The following is a 19,127-nucleotide window of genomic DNA, read 5'->3' on the forward strand; positions in this document are numbered from 1 at the left end:
GCATTCTAGTCTGGGCGATGAGTGAAACTCCATCTCAAAAAAAATTTATACACACACACCTCATGAGTCAAAGAAGAAATTATTATGAAAATTAAAACATTTTTAGAACTTAATTCTTTACATATCAAAACTAGTGAGATGCAGCAAAGGTAGTAGTTTAAGGAAAATTATCCCTTGTGATTCTTTCCTACTCCAAGGCTGGCTGTGGAGACCTATGACACTAGGCCCTGCGGGGGAGGTGCCACCCTGCAGGCTTTTTGGTGTCACAGCCAACTTGGCACAAGACGAGCATTTACAAACATTCCAGCAGTTCTTAAAGCATTAGATGTCACAGTTACTGGACTGTCATTTCTGACTCCCTTCTCAGTTGGTCTGTGGAAGACATGGACTTTTGCCCTTGACTTTTATTATTCTGAAGGTGCGGCTTATGCAAACAGCTCCTTCTCACAGACCTCCAGCAACTAAGATAGAACAAAGGTGTCTGCTTATCTTAAGTCAGACCTTTTTCACTTCTGAAGATATCCAGATTTTAGTCTGGCTGTGAAATTAGCATGTTTTCACCAGTGGAATTCAGCTTTGGAACAGTATTTACCAAGGAGAAGGAGCAGGAAGACATCCGTTTGCTCATCTTGTTTTACATATGTAATGGCGCTGTGTATTTCTTTTGATGTCTTCTCAATGCCGTTCACAAAGTTTTCTTTGAAAGTGATGGCTTTATCCTTCTGCTCATATTGATTACCACAGTTCAAGTACCATTTAGTTGAATTATAATCCTCAAGCACCAGGGGAGATTCCAGAACTCAGTGAATGAGAGATTTGATCATTGCTGCAGGACTGAGTTCTGCCCATTCCCTGTTCTTAGAGGAGAGGTAGGGAAAAAGAGCACCTTTTTAGAAACTTGCACTAGAAAAGGCGAGGAATGTTTTCTTTGGCTGACCCCAGGGCTTGATTAATTTGCTCACCATTTCTTTGGCTGTGACAAGTTTTCACTTTTATTTACTTCATGACAGACAGTGGAGACATTGCTTGATAATGATGCGGCACAGAAAGCTGGTAGGTTTTGAGATTTAGAAAAGAAAATTTGTTAGTTTTTGTGTCTCTTAGAGAAGAGTTTTCTGAGTACAGTATTACAAAAAAGGAATGAATGCCTTTTCAAATGGTTGCTCTTTTCAAAAGGTTGCTCTTTTTTTTTCTTTTTTTTTTTTTTGAGACAGTGTCTTACCTTATCGCCCAGGCTGGAGTGCAGTGGCATGATCTGGGTTCACTGCAACCTCTGCCTCCTGGGTTCAAGCAATTTTCATACCTCAGCCTCCCAAGTAGCTCGGATGACAGGCATGTGCTGCCATGCCTGCCTAATTTTGTGTCTTTAGTAGAGATGGGGTTTCACCATGTTGGCCAGGCTGGTCTCGAACTCCTGGCCTTAAGTGATCTGCCTGCCTTGGCCTCTCAAAGTGCTGGGATTATAGGCGTGAGCCACCGCGCCCAGCCACAGTTGCTCCATTTTTAATTGAACTTCTGTTGCACTTGTATTGACAGTGTTTATGGGAACTCTCAAATGTGTCACCAAAAATCTATATTTGAAAGATTTCCAGACTATTGTTCTAGAGCTAAGTTTTAATTATACACATCTATCTGTATTGTTAAAATAAAAACTTTAAACAAATTAAATTTAACAGAGTTTAATTGAGCAAAGAACAATTTGTGAATTGGGCTGCCTCCCAAGCCAGAGTAATAAGCTCAGAGAGACTCCAGTGCAGCCACATGGTGGAAGATTTATGGACAGAAAAGGGAAAGTGATGTATAGAAAATGGAAGCGAGGTACAGAAACAGGTGGATTGGTTACAGCTCAGCATTTGCCTTATTTGAATACGGTTTGAACCCCCAGCCACCTTTAATTGGCCAAAATTTGGTCACTGGCACAAGAGGAGGTTTTAGTCTGTTTATATTTCCACTAAGGTTTCAGTTTACTATGTCCAGAGAAACCTTTAGGCTAAACTTAAAATATATGAGGAGGCAGCTTTAGGTTAAACTTAATTTAATAGTATTCTCCACATACCTAATCTATGAATAAGCATCTTCTTTGAAGACGGGAACTGTACTTCAGGTTCTTTTCTGTTTAGCATTTAATTCCAAGATTTCCTCCAGCAATCTTGGAATTACGTTGTGAAATAATGTACAGAAAGCCTTGTGCACTGTGAAACAGAATAAAAATTACTTTTATTATCATTGTGGTTATTCATCTTTTGGGTATTTCACAGTCTCATAATACCACGTCCCATTTTCAGATACCATATAACACTCTGAAATAAGCACACTCATGTAGATTAGTATACATCTCATGTAACCTAGTAGTTTATAGCATGGCCTCAGGAGTCAAACTGCTAGGGTCTAAATCTCCCAGCTCAGCTACTTTCTGGCAGTTTAACTATGGGCAAATTACTTAATCTCATTCTGCCTTACTTTCCTTGCCATTAAAATAGTGATAATGATAGTACCCATTTCAGAGCATTGCTGAGACAAGTAGAGTGTTGAACTGTCTGTCACATAGAATGCTCAAAATATGTGAAAGTATTACCACTTTTATGAACTCTGGCCCTGAAAGCAATAATAATAAATGTTAGGTTGCAAAAGACTTAGTAGCCAAGAGGAGCCTAAGGAGTACATGGGGACTAAACATAATATGCTGTATAGATAGGATCCTGCGACAGGAAAAGAACATTAGGTAAAAACAAAGGAAATCCAAATAAAGGATGAACTTTAGTGAATTAGGAAAAATTGTTAGCCTGGGAAAATAAAACATCTGTGAAAAAAAAATTCCACTCATATAACTATATGGTTATATAAAAAAATAAACTTGTTGGCTAAAATAGAGATTGATAAGGCAGAAAATGGAAGTTCTCCCCTTTCCAAAGATAACTACTCTTAATGGTTCAGAGTATTACATTGGTGCAAAAGTGCAATTACTTTTGCACCATGAATTTTAAATCATTATTACTAGGCTGAAACACATTTTTATTAATCAAAATAGGAAGCATTATAACCAACACATTTTTGCCAATGAAAAATAAGTTTTTCTGAGTAAAAATCCGTAGGCAGGGCACGGTGGCTCACTCCTGTAATCCTAGCACTTTGGGAGGCTGAGGCGGGCAGATCACAGGGCAGATCACGTGAGGTCAGGAGTTCGAGACCAGCCCAGCCAACATGGCGAAACCCCGTCTCTACTAAAAATACAAAAATTAGCTGGGCATGGTGGTGGGTGCCTATAATCTTAGTTACTTGGGAGACTGAGGCAGGAGAATCGCTTGAACCCAGGAGGTGGAGGTTGCGGTGAGCCGAGATCCTGCCACTGTACTCCAGCCTGGGCGATAGAGCGAGATTCAGTCCCCACCCGCCGCTGCCAAAAAAAAAATCTGTGCTTTGTGATTCAACAAATTCTTGAAAAGCATTTTCTGCATCCTGCTGGTTGTGGAAGTGTTTTCCCTGCAAAAAGTCATTGAGATACTTGAAGAAGTGGCAGTCTGTTGGCGAGAGGTCAGGTGAATATGGTGGATGAAGCAAAACTTTGTAACCCAATTCCTTCAACTTTTGAAGCGTTGGTCGAGTGAAGTTCATTTGGCTATTGTCATGGAGAAGAATTGGGCCTTTCCTATTGACCAGTGCCGGCTGCAGGTGTTGCAGTTTTCGGTGCATCTCATCCATTTGCTGAGCATACTTCTCAGATGTAATGGGTTTGCTGGGATTCAGAAAGCTGTAGTGGATCAGACAAGCAGCAGATCACCACACAATGACCATGACCTTTTTTTGGTGCAAGTTTGGTTTTGGGAAGTGCTTTGGAGCTTCTCTCAGTCCAACCACTCAGCTCATCGTTGTCGGTTGTGGTATAAAATCCACTTTTCGTTGCATGTCAACATCCGATGGAGAAATAGTTTGTTGTTATTTTGCAGAGTAAGAGAAGACAACACTTCAAAATGACGTTTTTTTTATTTTTGCTCAGCTCATGAGGCACCCACTTATCAAGGCTTTTTAGCTTTCCAATATGCTTCAAATGCTGAATGACCATAGAATCGTCGATGTTGTTCTTCGACAACTTTTTGTGTAGTTGTAAGAGGATCAGCTTCGATGATTGCTCTCAACTGGTCATTGTCAACTTCCAGTGGCCAGCCACTATGCTTCTTATCTTCAAGGCTCTCATCTCCTTTGCAAAACTTCTTGAAACCACCACTGCACTGTATGTTCATAAGCAGTCCCTGGGCCAAATGTGTTGTTGATATTGTGAGTTGTCTCCACTGCTTTATGACCCATTTTTAACTTGAATATCACTCGAATCTGCTTTTTGTCTAACATCATTTCCATTGTCTAAAATAAATATAAAATAAAAAGCAAGTAATAAGTCATTAGCAAGAAAACATAAAGTGAGAAATATGCATTAAAATGATGTATAACATAACCACATTTATGTAAGAATGTGTATTCCAATATCAGACAGCAAATTTCAACAATGCAAAAACCATGATTACACTTGTACCAGTTGAATACATCCTTCCAATGGCAAAATTTGTATTTATTTATATTTATAATAGTTAATCTATTTATTTACTTATTGAACAAATGGGATCGTTTGTAGAATAGTTAATATAGACTTTTTTTTTTCTTTTTTTTTTTGCTCAACAATGTGTCATCTATACCAGTGCTACTCAAGCATAGTTCATAGACCAGTGCTGGTCAGCAATGCATTTGTTACCAGTCTCTGGGGAGATAAGGGAGGAGATAAGGTAAATCATAACATTTCTTTTTTTTTTTTTTGAGACAGGCTCTCACTCTGTCACCCAGGCTAGAGTGCAGTGGCACGCTCATGGCTCACTGCAGCCTCAATCTCCTGGACTCAACTGATCCTCCCACCTCAGCCTTCTGAGTAGCTGGGACTACAGGCGTTCATCACTATTCCCAGCTAATTTTTTTATTTCGCCGTGTTGCCCACGGTGGTCTCGAACTCCTGGACTTAAGTGATCCTCTTACCTTGGCCTTCCAAAGTTCTGGGATTACAAGTGTGAGCCACCACTCCTGGCCTTGGCACTGCTTTCTTTATTCAGAAAATCTTGCTACGAAACTAAACAGTGGTTAGTGATGTGAAGCTTTAGATTCTGGCCTAAGCCTCTTATCTCATTGTGGATCTGAAATGAACAGTTTGCTGACCTTCATCTGAGTAGTGCTGGTCTGCACCATGCCATATAAACATATAAAGAGCTGTGTTATCTCTTTAGGAGTTATTGATATTACTTGTTTTTCTTTTTGATTTAGAAACAAGATTGTCTTTCAAATGGAATAGTGGTGGCATTTACCAATAGCCACCTCTGTACTTTTATCTGCATCAGTTTCAGTGATTGAACTTCATTTAAAGAGTCAACACAGTATAGAGGTTGAGACCTTGGATAAAGCCAATTCAAATTATGGCTACTCTGGAACCTCAATTTTTTAATCTGAAAAATTGATATGATGAATCAATCTTATAAGATGAATCTATCTTATAAGATTATTATGAGGATTAATGATTAAATGAGATCATACCTTCAAAGAGCTTAACACGTTTTTTTGTCATGTAGTAAGGGCTCAATAACAATGAGTTGCTATCATAATATTATTTACTACTACCAGAAGCTATGGTCTTAATTAGTGACATTTAAAAAAAAATAATTTAAAACTCACTCATTTCCAAATAAGTTGAAATTACTTAACAGATTAAAATCTTGCAAAGCAAACACTAAAAAAAATGTGGATGTTAATGGTGCTTTAGAAAAGCAGGGAGATATTTATCACCAGAAGCTATGCTTTGCCCAATGTTAAAAAGTATTGTGTTGTTAGACTTCCTATAACATTTGGCTACAAAGAGACATTTTGTTACAATTTCTTACATCATCATTAAGAGAATCTCAAGGGCTGATAAATTCTATTTCCATATATATATATATATATATATTTTTTTTTTTTTTTTTTTTTTGTTTTTTTTTTTTTGTTTTTTGAGATAGAGTTTCACTCTGTTGCTCAGGCTGGAGTGCACTGGCACGATCTCGGCTCACTGCAACCTCCGCCTCCTGGGTTCAAGCCATTCTCCTGCCTCAGCCTCCCAAGCAGCTGGGATTACAGGTGTGCACCACCACACCCAGCTAATTTTTTGTATTTTTAGTAGAGATGGGGTCTCACCAGGTTGGCCAGCCTGGTGTCAAACTCCTGACTTCAGGTGATCCGCCCGCCTCAGCCTCCCAAAGTGTTGGGCTTACAGGCGTGAGCCACCGCGCCTGGCTGTCTATATATTTTTACAGGGTTTTGTTATGTTGCCTAGGCTAGAGTGCAGTGGCATAATCTCAGCTCACTGCAGTCTTGACTTTCTGGGCTCAGGTGATCCTCCCACCTCAGCCTCCGAAGTAGCTGAGCGCACCAGCAAACCTGGCTAATTTTTTGTAGAGATGGACGGGGTTTTGCTATGTTGCCCAGGCTGGCCTTGAACTCCTGGGCTCAAGCGATATGCCAGCCTTGGCCTCCAGAAGTGCTAGGAGTACAGCCATGAGCCACTGCGCCTGGCCTGAATTCTATTTTCTATGTGCAATGGGGGAGTCCTATTTTAATAGGGGGAGAGATAATATTTTTATAAGGAGACCACTCTCATCATAAGATCTGCAAGTGTCTCCTTAACTTTTAAGTGCTATCAATAGTTCTAAAAGGTCAGACCACTTCCTTATTCTCTTGATATCTGGTATTGGCTTCTCTGTTGAGAAGATCTAGTTTTAGTTTAATTTTCAGAAAAGTGAATTGCTATGATTTTGTTGTTGGTGGTGGCATTGTTGCTATAGATGTAGATTGCTCTACCATTAACCTGCACTAGTTGTTCACTAGTTGTGTCAAAAATAAATAATGTGCCAGACAAATTAAAAAACTAATAAGTTATTCCATCTGGCTCTCAAAGGCATAATCCTCTCATTTGCTTCCAGATAGGATATATATGTATCGTGTTAAGACACTAAGGTCTGTTTTGTGCTGCTATAACAGAGTACCACAGACTAGGTAATTTATAATGAAAATATATTTGTTGGCTCACAGTTCTGGTTGCTGGGAAGTCCAAGATGGAAGGTCTGGCATCTGATGAGGGCCTTCTTGCTACATCATCCCATGGCAGAAAGGCAAAGAAAGGGCAAGAGAGGGCCAAATGTATCTTTTATAAGGAGCCCACTCCAGAGATAACAATAATGGCATTAATTCATTCAGGAAGGCAAACCCCTCATGGTCTGATCACCTCTTGAAAGTCCCACCTCCCGACACTACTGCACTGGGGATTAAGTTTCCAGCACATGCTTTTTGGGGGACACATTGAAACCACGGCATATGGTATGTATGTGTGTGTGTGTGTGTTTCTTTCCTTCCTTTCAACAGGGCAGCACCCTTCTAAAACACCCCCAAATACTCCCTAAATGTCCTTGGTCAGCACCTTATTCTCACAAGTCTTCCATAACTTAACTCTGATTTTTCCTGCGTTCATCTATAAGTATTCACTATGTCATTAAAGCCTTTATAATTTGATTGTCTCCTTAATGGTGACTCAGAAGAAAGCTTGGGTTTATGCTGATACTTGTAATCGAATCCAAAATGCCTGAAATCCTGTATGAAAGTTTGCTATTAGGTTGGTGCAAAAGTAATGGCAAAAACCAATATTACTTTTGCATCAGCCTAGTAGATACAATATGAATGTTGCCTGGGGTTATTGTTAATGTCTTAGTAACAGCAGCTTACATTCACAGTGTGTTCTTTTTTAAGAGAGGTCATATTGGTGTCACATTACAGATAGGGAAAAAGAAACTCAAAACTTAGAAACTTGAGGTCTTTTTCCCAAGATCACATAGCTGGTAAATGGTGGAGCCACCAGGGTCCAAACCTGTGCTGGAACCATCCTGCAGGGCTACATCAGGATGCCACCTTAAAAAAAGGTTAAATGCTTACATTGCATGTTATTCATTCTGTTTAAACTTCCAAAAAACTAGGAAGAATGATTGCCATCTTTGACCTAATAAGAGTTTATAAGGTCAGATAAAAGTCTGTATTTTTTTGTTGTTGTTGTTCAACAATTATGTGCTAACATAAAATTGCTGTTTTATTATTACCTCAATGGATTATTTGATGAGGAGACTCATGGTGGAGCTGCCTCTTTATATGCATTAGAAAAAGCGGTTTGGGTAGAACTTGCCTGTAGAGAAGAAATAAATTTAAAAAGAAAGTAAAAGAAAAACATAAGAAAAGGTAGTTTGGGGAGAAATATTTTTTAAAATCCTAAATTGGAATGAATACTCTTGCTAAAATGTAATGCCCTGTTCCTAGGGATAATAAGAATCACTGTGTCAGCTCCTTGTTACTTCCACCACATGGCTTTGCTAGTTTCCAAATGAAGAGGTTCCTCCCTATCTTGATTTTTTTTTTTTTTTTTTTTTTTTGAGAGAGTCTTGCTCTGTTGCCCAGGCTGGAGTGCAATGGTGCGATCTCAGCTGTCAGTGCAACCTCCGCTTCTGGGGTTCAAGTGATTCTCCTGCGTCAACCTCCTGAGTAGCTGGGACTGCAGGCGTGTGCCACCATGCCCAACTAATTTTTGTATTTTTAGTAGAGATGGAGGTTTTGCCATGTTGGCCAGGCTGGTCTTGAACTCCTGAGCTCAAGAAATCCGCCTGCCTCACAATATTCCTCCACAATATTCCATTGAGTCCAATGTGTCCCAAAGTGCTGGGATTAGGGATTATAGGAGTGAGCCACTGCTCCCCGCCTTCCTAGCTTGATTTTCTTGGGAAAGAGGTTGTATCTCTTCAGCTTCTATCTCTTCTCTTGATTTTATTTAAGTGTTCACCCTTTGTTGTTGGTCCTCTTTGAGTGGTGCTAGGAATTCTGGTGGAGCCACTTGACACAGGCCCCACCTCAGGCCCCCAGATTTGCATTTGTAACGAGTTACCAGGTGAGACTGATGCTGTAGGTCAAGGACCACACTTTGGGAACTACTGCCGTAAAAATCAAGCGATTTTATAACTTCCTTAAGTTAGCCAATTTAAATGCTAATTTTCCTCCCAATTTCCCAAAGATCTTTTACCTTTCTTACAATTGCTCTCAATGGACATCAAATCATGGCTATTTAAACTAAGATTCTAGAAAATGCATGTAGCTCCTTGCTTTTTGCTTTGCCATTTTTCCTTCATTTTCATATTTTGTTCCCTTCCCAAATTATAAAGCGCCTTTTCATGCCACACCTGGGTAAATTGAAATCTAAAGTGGGAGCCTGATGAGCCCTTGAGGATTAATGGTTCAATTTCCCTGCAAATCTGCATGTGCTTTTGAACTAAGGAAAAAGAACACAGGGCAATGTAACCCTCCGTAGGGCTTCGCTAGCACATTTCAGTTTTCTACAGTTACCGCCAGCTCTTAGGACAGTCATCACATTTGACACCTGACTCTAGAACAACCAAAGTGCAGGTTTTTTGTAGGTTATGGCTCATGCAAGTTAGTGTGAGGTTGGGAGTTTTTCTTTTTTCTTTTTTTTTTGGCATAAGAATAGCGCTGTATTTTCCTACAGGTAATTTTTCTATTGCTTCAACATTTTCTCTTCAAAATTAAAAGAAAAATATTCCAAAGTTTAGAACTGGATCACTTGGTCCTTTCTTTTCTTATATCCTCCCAGTTCAAAATGCTTGCATCTGTTAATGGCCAGCATCCTCTTGGATCTGCAGTTAGGCTCAACACATTCCAGCCTTAGCACAACCTTCTTTGTGGTCTTAGCCTTCTTCCAGAAAATTGGCTTTGTCTGCCCACCATAGCCACTCTGCTTCTGATCATAGCACCTCTTTCCCTGGGCATACGATGAATCCTTGCCCTTCTTATACTGTGTCACTTCGTCAGGTGATGCTTACAAAGGTTCTTCGGGTTTAGGTACGTTGACCATCTTTGCAGCAGGGCTGTTCTGTTTATATGATGAACACAAGAAACAGTGTCCGAGACCCTTGCCTTGTACAGCTCTCACCTAACCGGGAGTTTTTCTTTAAATGGAACATTTCGTTATGTTTCATGAGAGCACCTGTTTGATTGTTTTTGTACCCTAGGTCTACTGGCAATTTATGAAATTGATTTAACAATAGTTATATGGGAACTACAACGTACGTGAGAGGTAGGATCTCAAGTCAGACAATAAGGAGAAAACATTTTGTAAAATTACCCTTGAAAATCCCCAAGTCACCAAGAAGTGCATCCATGAAAGCTCTGAAGCCAGAAATTAATTTAAGTTTCTCTTTGCTTATGGGCTACGACCCCACACTTGCCTGTGGCCACGGTCTAGTTGAAAGAGGGAAAGGATGTTAGGGAAAATAGGATTTTGTCCTTTCTCCTTTTTTCCCTTCCAAGTAGACATAGACATGTGGTTCAACTCCAATAAATTAAATGTACTGTGACTCCATTATATTGTTAAGATAATTGAAGTATTTGATTCTGGGTCACTGGTTTAAATTCATTTACAGTCATGCTGGAATTAAGTATCATAAGTTCATTCATTCAACAAACAGCTATTGAATATCTTTATAGATTTATCAAGGACAGGGATTTGTTTTTTTATTGGGCCCTTTTTTGTCTTATAGTAGTCGCTCAGGCAGTGTTTGTTGAATGAATAGTGAAATACAGTCCATGTCTTTTTGTGGTTTATATCCTGGTTTTAAAGTTGAAAAGTAAACAAAGATTTGCCATAGAGTCTGTTAGAGATATCTTAATTTATGGGAATATTGTGGAGGAAGAAATTCATTCTGCCTGGGAGAGTACAATACAAACTCATGAGAGAGACATCTGGGCTAGACCTTGATGGATGAGGAGTTCTCTAGGAAAGGAGGGGCATTCTGGGTATAGGAAAGGCTCCTGAAATGATTCTAATATGTTTCCTTCTTAACAATCATGAGCTTAGTGTTTTAAGTGCCTTGAGCAGAGTAGTAAAAGATAAGAATAGACAGGTAGTGCTAATAATAGCTAATAGCTATTGGGCATAGAGTTTATGCCTGGCAGTGTAAGTGAATTTTACATTTTGCTTAAATCTCACAAGAAATATATGAGGTACACACTGCTAATCCCATTGTCCCATTTTCTAGATTAGAAAACTGAGGAAAGTTGGCCGGGCGCGGTAGCTCACACCTGTAATCCCAGCACTTTGGGAGGCCGAGGCGGGTGGATCAACTGAGGTCAGGAGCTCAAGACCAGCCTGACTGACATGGTGAAATCTCGTGTCTACTACAAATACAAAAAAATTAGCTGAGTATGGTGGCGCATGCCTGTAATCCCAGCTACTTAGGAGGCTGAGGCAGGAGAATCGCTTGAACCCAGGAGGCAGAAGTTGCAGTGAGCCGAGATTGAGCCATTCCACTCCAACCTGGGCATCAAGAGTGAAAATCCGTCTCAAAAAAAAAAAAAAGAAAAGAAAAGAAAAAAAAACTGAGGAAAGTTGAATTTACCAGAGATGACATAACTAGTGAAATGACATTATGTTATATAAGCCTTGGCTGAATGCCATATAAAATTAGATTTTATTTTATTTATTTATTTATTTTTTTGAGATGGAGTCTCACCCTGTTGCCCAGGCTGGAGTACAGTGGTGCAATCTCAGTTCGCTGCAACCTCAGCGTCCAGGGTTCAAGTGATTCTCCTGCCTTAGCCTCCTGAGTAGCTGGGACTACAGGTGCCTGCTATCTTCAAGACCAACCTGGTAACGTGACGAAACTCTGTCTCTACAAAAAATACAAAAATTAGCCAGGCATGGTGGTGTGTGCCTATGGTCGCATGCAGCTACTCAGGAGGCTGAGGTGGGAGGATCAATTGAGTCTGAGAAGTGGAGGTTGCAGTGAACTGAGATCTGCACCACTGCACTCCAGCCTGGGTGACTGAGCGAGACTCTGTCAGAAAGAGAAAATGAGAGAGAGAGGAAAGAAAGAGAAGAAAGAAGGAAGGGAGAGACAGAGAAAGAAAGGAAAGAAAGAAAATTATAAGCCACATAGATATTCAAGAGCCAATAAATAATCAAATCAATTATTATATGTAAAAGTGTTAGCATAATATGGAACCATTAGAAAGTATGACTCTTTTTTTTTTGAGCTGGAGTCTGCCTCTGTCTCCCAGGCTGGAGTGCAGTGGCACGATCTCGGCTCGCTGCAAGCTCCGCCTCCTGGGTTCACACCATTCTCCTGCGTCATCCTCCCGAGTAGCTGGGACTACAGGTGCCTGCCACCATGCCTGGCTAACTTTTTGTATTTTTAATAGTAACAGGGTTTCACCATGTTAGCCAGGATGATCTCGATCTCCTGACCTCGTGATCCGCCTGCCTCGACCTCCCAAAGTGCTGGGATTACAGGTGTGAGCAACCACGCCCGGCCGAAAGTGTGACTTTTGAAGAGTATTAAAGGACAAATGAACTATTTAAGAAATCCCATGAAGAGAGAAAAATATGATTAATAAAATACAGTATATACCGGAATATATTACAATTATTATTTCTGAGGAAAAGGGAGGGACAGTTTTTTAAAAGCTCCTTCTTTATGTGTTTATTTTCCAAATTTCCTATAACAAATGTGTAGTACAATGATGATTAAATGAATGAGTATATAAAGTGCTAGAAGAATGCCTGGCCTTATAGTGAACTCTCAAATATGAGCTTTTACTGTTGCTATGATATAATTACTTTTATTATATATAAAATATTTTTAAAAACTCACTCTAATTGTAATTAATTGTTTGTGTAACTACTTGTTTAATGTTTGTCCTCTATCCTCTATCGTCTTTGGTCCCTTATAAAAAAATTTTTTTTGAGATAGGATCTTGCTCTGCTGCTCAGGCTAGAGTGCAGTTGCATGATCATAGTTCACTGCAGCCTCAGCCTCCTGGGCTCCAAGGGCCCTCCCACCTCAGCCTCCTGAGTAGCTAGGACTACAGGCATCTGCCACTGCACCTAGCTAACTTTTTAGTTTTGTAGAGATGGGGTCTCACTGCCTTGCCCAGGCTGATCTTGAACTCCTGAGCTCAAAGTGATCCTCTTCCTCCACCTCCCAAAGTGTTGGATATTACAGTCATGAGCAGTCCTTAAAGACCATATCCGTCAAATACAAGCTGGCTCTAATACCTGGCACATAATAAGTGCTCAGTTATTGTTTGGTGTGTGTGTGTGTGTGTATATTTGTTTGTACCCTCAAAGATCAGGTTTCTAAATATTTTCTCCTATTTTATTTCTGCTTTTTAGCAGGAAGGTCGCCAATAATCAAGCTGTAAAAATATTAGCTGCTCCCAATTTAGAATTTTTGTGTTCTTATGAATGCTGAAATGTATGTAAACAAAATTGCACAGTGTTAAATGGTATGTTGTTGAACCAGAAATATGTTTATTGTCTTATTTTATAAACAAAATGGCACTGAGATTTCTTTAAAAATTTTTTAAAGATATAGTTTTTGAAATTTACAACACAACTCAGTAAATAAGATTATGAAAAAGCTATCTTAGATATCCTTTTTGATTGGTTCTAAGATTATAACTTTAAGCAAGCATAGGGACACTTTTAACAACTTGGAAGGTATTTTGGTGGGACAGTAAGAGTGTATTTGTTTATATGAAAATCCGTAATTCTTTGTAAGAACGTAATTTGAATCTGTAGTTGATTGCAAGTTTAGAGAGGTCTCTGCAATATACAAAGTTTCTTAGTTGCAGTCACTTGCCAAGACGGGCTGATCACTAAGAAATAAGGAAACTCAGCTAGAATTACCAGCTGCTGTTTATAAAACCAAATGATAAAATTCACTTAATGAAAGTAATGTGCTGACAGCAGTGTTTATTACTTAAAACATAACAATCATGTTTATTGTATCTCTCTGTGACAGCTTTGCTGAATATAACTTAAATGTAGCAGAGGAAATCCAGAGTAATGCATTTTTTAAAAAAAGTGTGTTTATTTACATGAAACCAACATAAAAAGTTTGAAGACTTTTTTGTCAGAGATCTTAGTTTTCTAGAGTTAAACTGAAAAGATTGAAGAAATGGTAAGTAGCTACCATTTTTGGAAACAAGAAATTAAGAAGTACAAACTCAGAAAACACGCTTGGAGAAAATTTTAATATCATGAAACCTAGAACTCTTGAACTTCAAAAGACCTTACAATCCGCTTGATGGTGATATTTGGAATCTCAGATATAGTATTGAAATATCATAGGATAGAAAGGAATAATCAGGGAGCTTAATGCAATCAGAACCTTGTAGCCTGTTATGGGAAGTATCATTTGGTTAAGCCTGCTAAGCTACTGTAAATGAATGTTAATCGCATTTTATCAGCTGCTTATACTATCTTTATTATGTAATTTGAATATTTATGACAATGGAAATATGTTTAACTGTGAAATTACAGTGTTTATGGAACTCAAATTCCAAAAAGCATACAACCCTCTGATGGAGAATAACTATATTTAAATACTACAAAATTCAAGATGTTTCTACCATTTAACATTAGTCTATATCTTGTGGGAGAAGCATTGTTTGTGGCTAAAATACTGTGACAAACAGAATGATGTACGCTCATGTTGACTTCTAAGATAAGCATGTGATTTAGATAATTTATTGTTTGCACAAAAATCAGTCACCAACTAGATCATTTTAACTTTTTAGGATCATGTAGTATTTAACTATTTTCTCAATATAGTTTATATCATTTTGGTTGACTGCATCCTTATCTTCTTGGAAATTATTAATGAACCTTTTAAAAAATATGAACCAGGCTTTGGACTTGAACTTCTTCTCCTCTTAAAGCTGCAATAATATTGAAGTTGAAAATGGTGGGCCAGGTGCTGTGGCTCATGCCTGTAATCCCAGCACTTTTGGAGGCTGAGGCAGGCAGATCATCTGAGGTCAGGAGTTTAAGACTAGCCTGGCTAACATGGCAAAACCACGTTTCTACTAAAAATACAAAAAATTAGCTGAGCATGGTGGCATGCGCCTGTAATCTTAGCTACTTGGGAGACTGAAGCAGCAGAATGGCTTGAACCTGGGAGGCAAGGTTTCAGTGAGCCGAGATTGCGCCATTACACTCCAGCTTGGGCAACAAGAGTGAAACTCCATCTCAAAAAAAGAAAGAGAAAATAATGGATGGGAATGCTTCTTTAATTGTGTAGTCTGTATTTATTTTGTGTGTGTATGTATTTTGGGGAAAATTGATTCTCTGCCAATGCTTTCTTCTTTGCAAACATAAACCCATGAAAAGGTATTTTTTCCCTTTGGGAAAATTTAAATGCACGTTGTTCTTCTGGAAAATATAATCTAATAGGAAAATACAATTCACATTAGAACCAAAAAAAAGCCTGTAATTAAGATGTGTCTTAGTCACATTTTCTTTCTGTCTTTTGTTAAAACCTCAACATGGACTCATTCAAGCAAATAAAGTTGTTGGGTAGGTGGAACATTGTTTTCAAATGTTATAGTAATGCTACAGTGTTACAACTATCTGGTTACTTCATCTTGATTGCCAAAAATATTAAATTATCATTTTATAAAATTTGGGTATAAAACTTTATGTCTTGAGGCTAATTTAGATGTGTGGTGGTGTCTACTGGCAACACTAGAGAGGTTTCAGGGTCAGAGAGTGTTGAGACCAAATTCTAGATCCAGCACTCAGCTTAGATACCATCTTTCTAGTCAGGTTACTGAATCTTGCCAGGCCTTAGTGGCCCCACCTTCGTAAGGTTGTTGGACAGATTACTGAAATCCTCACAAATATGTGGAAAGTGCCTAGAATGTTTACCTGGAGCCAATGATGATTGCACACACTGCTGTTACATAGTTGATGATAGAGCCTCTATGCTGTGGGTTACTTAAAACACTTTTGCCTTTCTGCCATCTACATTTGGGAGAATTAGCTGGACAGTATACCCTCCTTTAAAAAGCTGACAAAGGAAAAATATCAAGAATGCAAGTCAGGCTCTCTTTATCTAATAACAACATTAGAGAAGAGTTGCTATATCAGATTCTTGATCCTAATGCCTGAAATGCGATTGGGCATTTGTTTATGGATATCATTATCTGTACTGCTGCCTGCTTTATTGGTATAAAGCAAGAGTCAGCAAACTTTTTCTGTGAAGAGCCAGGGAGCAAATATTTGAGGCTTTGTGGGCTCTTCAATTTCTGTCACAACTTCTCTATTGTACCATTGTAGCCAAGACTAGTGGTAGACAATATGGAAATGAATGGGCATGGCTGTATTCTAATAAAGTTCTCTTTGTAAAAATAGATCATAGTTTTCTAATCCCTGTGGAAGATAATTGAGAGTATGTTCGCATCTTTTTAAAATCAGAGATAAATTCTTGCCACCAAAGTTGTAATTGTTCATTACTTCATTCCTCTATTCGTGTGCGTGTGCATGTTTGTGTTTGTGTGTGTGTAGAGTATGTATATCTGATAAACTGTCAGCTTTTGATTTCTGAAGCTGTGTGGGAATTGATTTTTCTAGTCAATTTGACTACATCTCTAGAACACGGTAGGGATGATAGGGAATGCCTTGTTTGTCTGTGAGATTAAACCATTACACCTTTTTATTCATAATTGAGTAGATTTTGAGTTACATTGGAGAGTCCTGGCTTTACAGTTGGATAGTCTGTTTCACAGTCCACCTCCTAGCTGCAAAGTCCTTGGCTGGTGATGTAGCTTTTCTAGGGATCAGTCTTCTCATCTATAACACAGTGCTAATTCTCACCTTGTTGGGTTGCTGAGAATTGAGTGAGCCCATGCATTTGAAGGCCAACCTCAGTGCCTGAAACAGATAAACCCAATGAACAGTAGTTCTTTCAATCTTGAATGAGAATCATATTCTGAAGGCTAAATGATTTTTGAAAAACTTTACTGTTAATTTACATTTTTTTTTCTTTTTTTTGAGACAGGGTCTTGCTATGTCACCCAGGCTGAAGTTATTGGTGATTCTACCTCACTGCAGCCTCAATCTTTCAGTCTCACGTGATCCTCCCACCTCAGCCTCCTGAACAGCTGGGACTATTGGTGAGCACCACCATGCCTGGCTATTTTCTTTTTAATTTTTTATTTTTAATAGAGATGAGGTCTTGCTATGTTGCCCAGGCTGGTCTTGAACCCTTGGGCTCAAGTGATCCTCCAGCCTTGGCCTTCCGAAGTGTTAGGATCACAAGTGTGAGCTTCCTCACCCTGTCCTTTGTTCTTTTTAAGGGGGAAAAATGCACCTCTGCATACTTACATACTCTGAATTATTTGGAGCTGTGCCTCTCAGACTATCTATGGTGAAGGCCTAATTTTGTTCCGAATTCGTCATGAACTGATGCTTTTATAAAGTACAATACAATGAATTAATATTAAAAAAGAAAAACATACAAAACACATACAAAGCCCCCATTTTAATAATGAGATCCAATAAACACATACATTTTCTAAATGCTTACTGTCAATTTCTCTGTATTTCTTTGGGGACTGGTAATAAACAATTGGCAAACCAGTACTGATCCATGAGCCACACTTTTAGGAGCACTAAGTTGGGGGGAAGCAAGTTCATGGCGATTTATTTAAAATATTCATATTAATTACTCTTGGATAGAATTAGTTACTAAATAGACAATGAATTTATCCCTTCTACCTCAAAAGTAGTTACCAACTGTAAGTGAAAATTAATTATCTACCCAAATCCATGTTCAACAGCTTCCCTCCCCATAATGTAAGATTGTTTGATTTGAGGTAACTGGAGATCTCATAGGGGAATAAAACTCAGTGGTTGTCTCCAGACCAAGATGGCCGTTGATTGGAGTATCTCCATCCATAATGGGTTGATATGGTTTAGCTGTGTGCGCACCCAAATCTCATCTTGAATTGTAGCTCCCATAATCTCCATGTGTCATGGGAGGGACCTGGGGAAGGTAATTGAATCATGGGGGCAGGTTTTTCCATGCTGTTGTTGTGATAGTGGAAAAGTCTCATGAGATCTGATGATTTTATAAAGGGCAGTTCCCCTGCACACACTCTCTAGCCTGCTGCCATGTAAGACGTTCCTTTTCTCCTCCTTCGCCTACCGCCATGATTGTGAAGCCTCCCCAGCCATGTAGAACTGTGAGTCCGTTAAACCTCTTTTTCTTTTTTTGAGACAGAGTCTTACTCTGTTACCCAGGCTGGAGCGTAGTGGAGCAATCTCAGCTCACTGCAACCTCCGCCTCCTGGGTTCAAGTGATTCTCCTGACTCAGCCTCCCCAGCAGCTGGGATTACAGACGCATGCCACCCCGCCTGACTAATTTTTGTATTTTTAGTAAAGACAGGGTTTCACTGTTTGGCCAGGCTGCTCTCAAACTCCTGACCTCAAGTGATCCGCCCCTCCCATCGGCCTCCGAAAGTGCTGGTATTACAGGCGTGAGCCACCACACCCAGCCAAACCTCTTTTTCTTTATAAATTACCCAGTCTCAAGTATTTCTTCGTAGCAGTATGAAAATTGACTAATACAGGGGTTCTCAGTGACTCCATCACTGACCTTGAGAGCCCAGATCTCATAGGGTGTAGGTATAAGAATCTCAGGTCCTCAGTTTCTCCTCCATCCCCTGTGTTCTGGCAGCACCTCCCATTACCTTTATGAATCCACGTATTTTATTATACTGCCATTATTTTATCTGACTCCTCCACAGAACTGTGGACTTTGCAGTAGGAACTATTTTATTCTCTTCTTGCCTCCCTGGCTCCTGGCAGACCCTAGATGTACCTCGAAAATGTACTGATGTGTGAATGAATGAGCGGATGATGTGTTCCAGGCGTCTCACCAGCCTTCCTTTATCTGCACACTCTTCACTTTGCTAGGGTCCCTCTCAAAAACACAACCGGATCAGGAGTAGGGGGAGGGAGGAGAAGGGAGCTGCTGTAAAGCAACACACTGCTGTCAACATTTTTAAATGCGCATAACCCAAGAGAACATGCACAGTATATTTTGCGAAGTCAACTGGAAAGTGTCAGGGCCACACCTTACTGTAGTTGAAATTCAATGGCATTGAGCTCTTGATATTATAGATAGTAATTTTCTAGAGTACACACAATGGTGTGTGAACATATGACTGGGCT

General features: G+C 39.3%; 1 protein-coding gene and 1 pseudogene across 4 annotated transcripts in view, besides 1 other annotated feature; one reads left to right on the top strand and one right to left on the bottom strand.

Annotated features, from left to right (window-relative positions):
- Positions 1–19,127, top strand: part of SRGAP1 (SLIT-ROBO Rho GTPase activating protein 1) — a 317,518-nt gene that overhangs the window by 17,384 nt on the left and 281,007 nt on the right. The window lies entirely within an intron of this gene.
- Positions 8,586–9,175: an enhancer, noted in NCBI's record as "NANOG-H3K4me1 hESC enhancer chr12:64264449-64265038 (GRCh37/hg19 assembly coordinates)". NCBI's record gives its function as "activates a minimal SCP1, AML or CMV promoter by ChIP-STARR-seq in primed H9 embryonic stem cells {active_cell/tissue: H9 hESC(primed)}" and the evidence as "EXISTENCE:reporter gene assay evidence [ECO:0000049][PMID:30033119]".
- RPL36AP41 (ribosomal protein L36a pseudogene 41) lies at positions 9,656–9,961 on the bottom strand (annotated as a pseudogene).

Source organism: Homo sapiens, chromosome 12 (assembly GCF_000001405.40).
Source record: "Homo sapiens chromosome 12, GRCh38.p14 Primary Assembly".
NCBI lineage: Eukaryota > Metazoa > Chordata > Mammalia > Primates > Hominidae > Homo > Homo sapiens.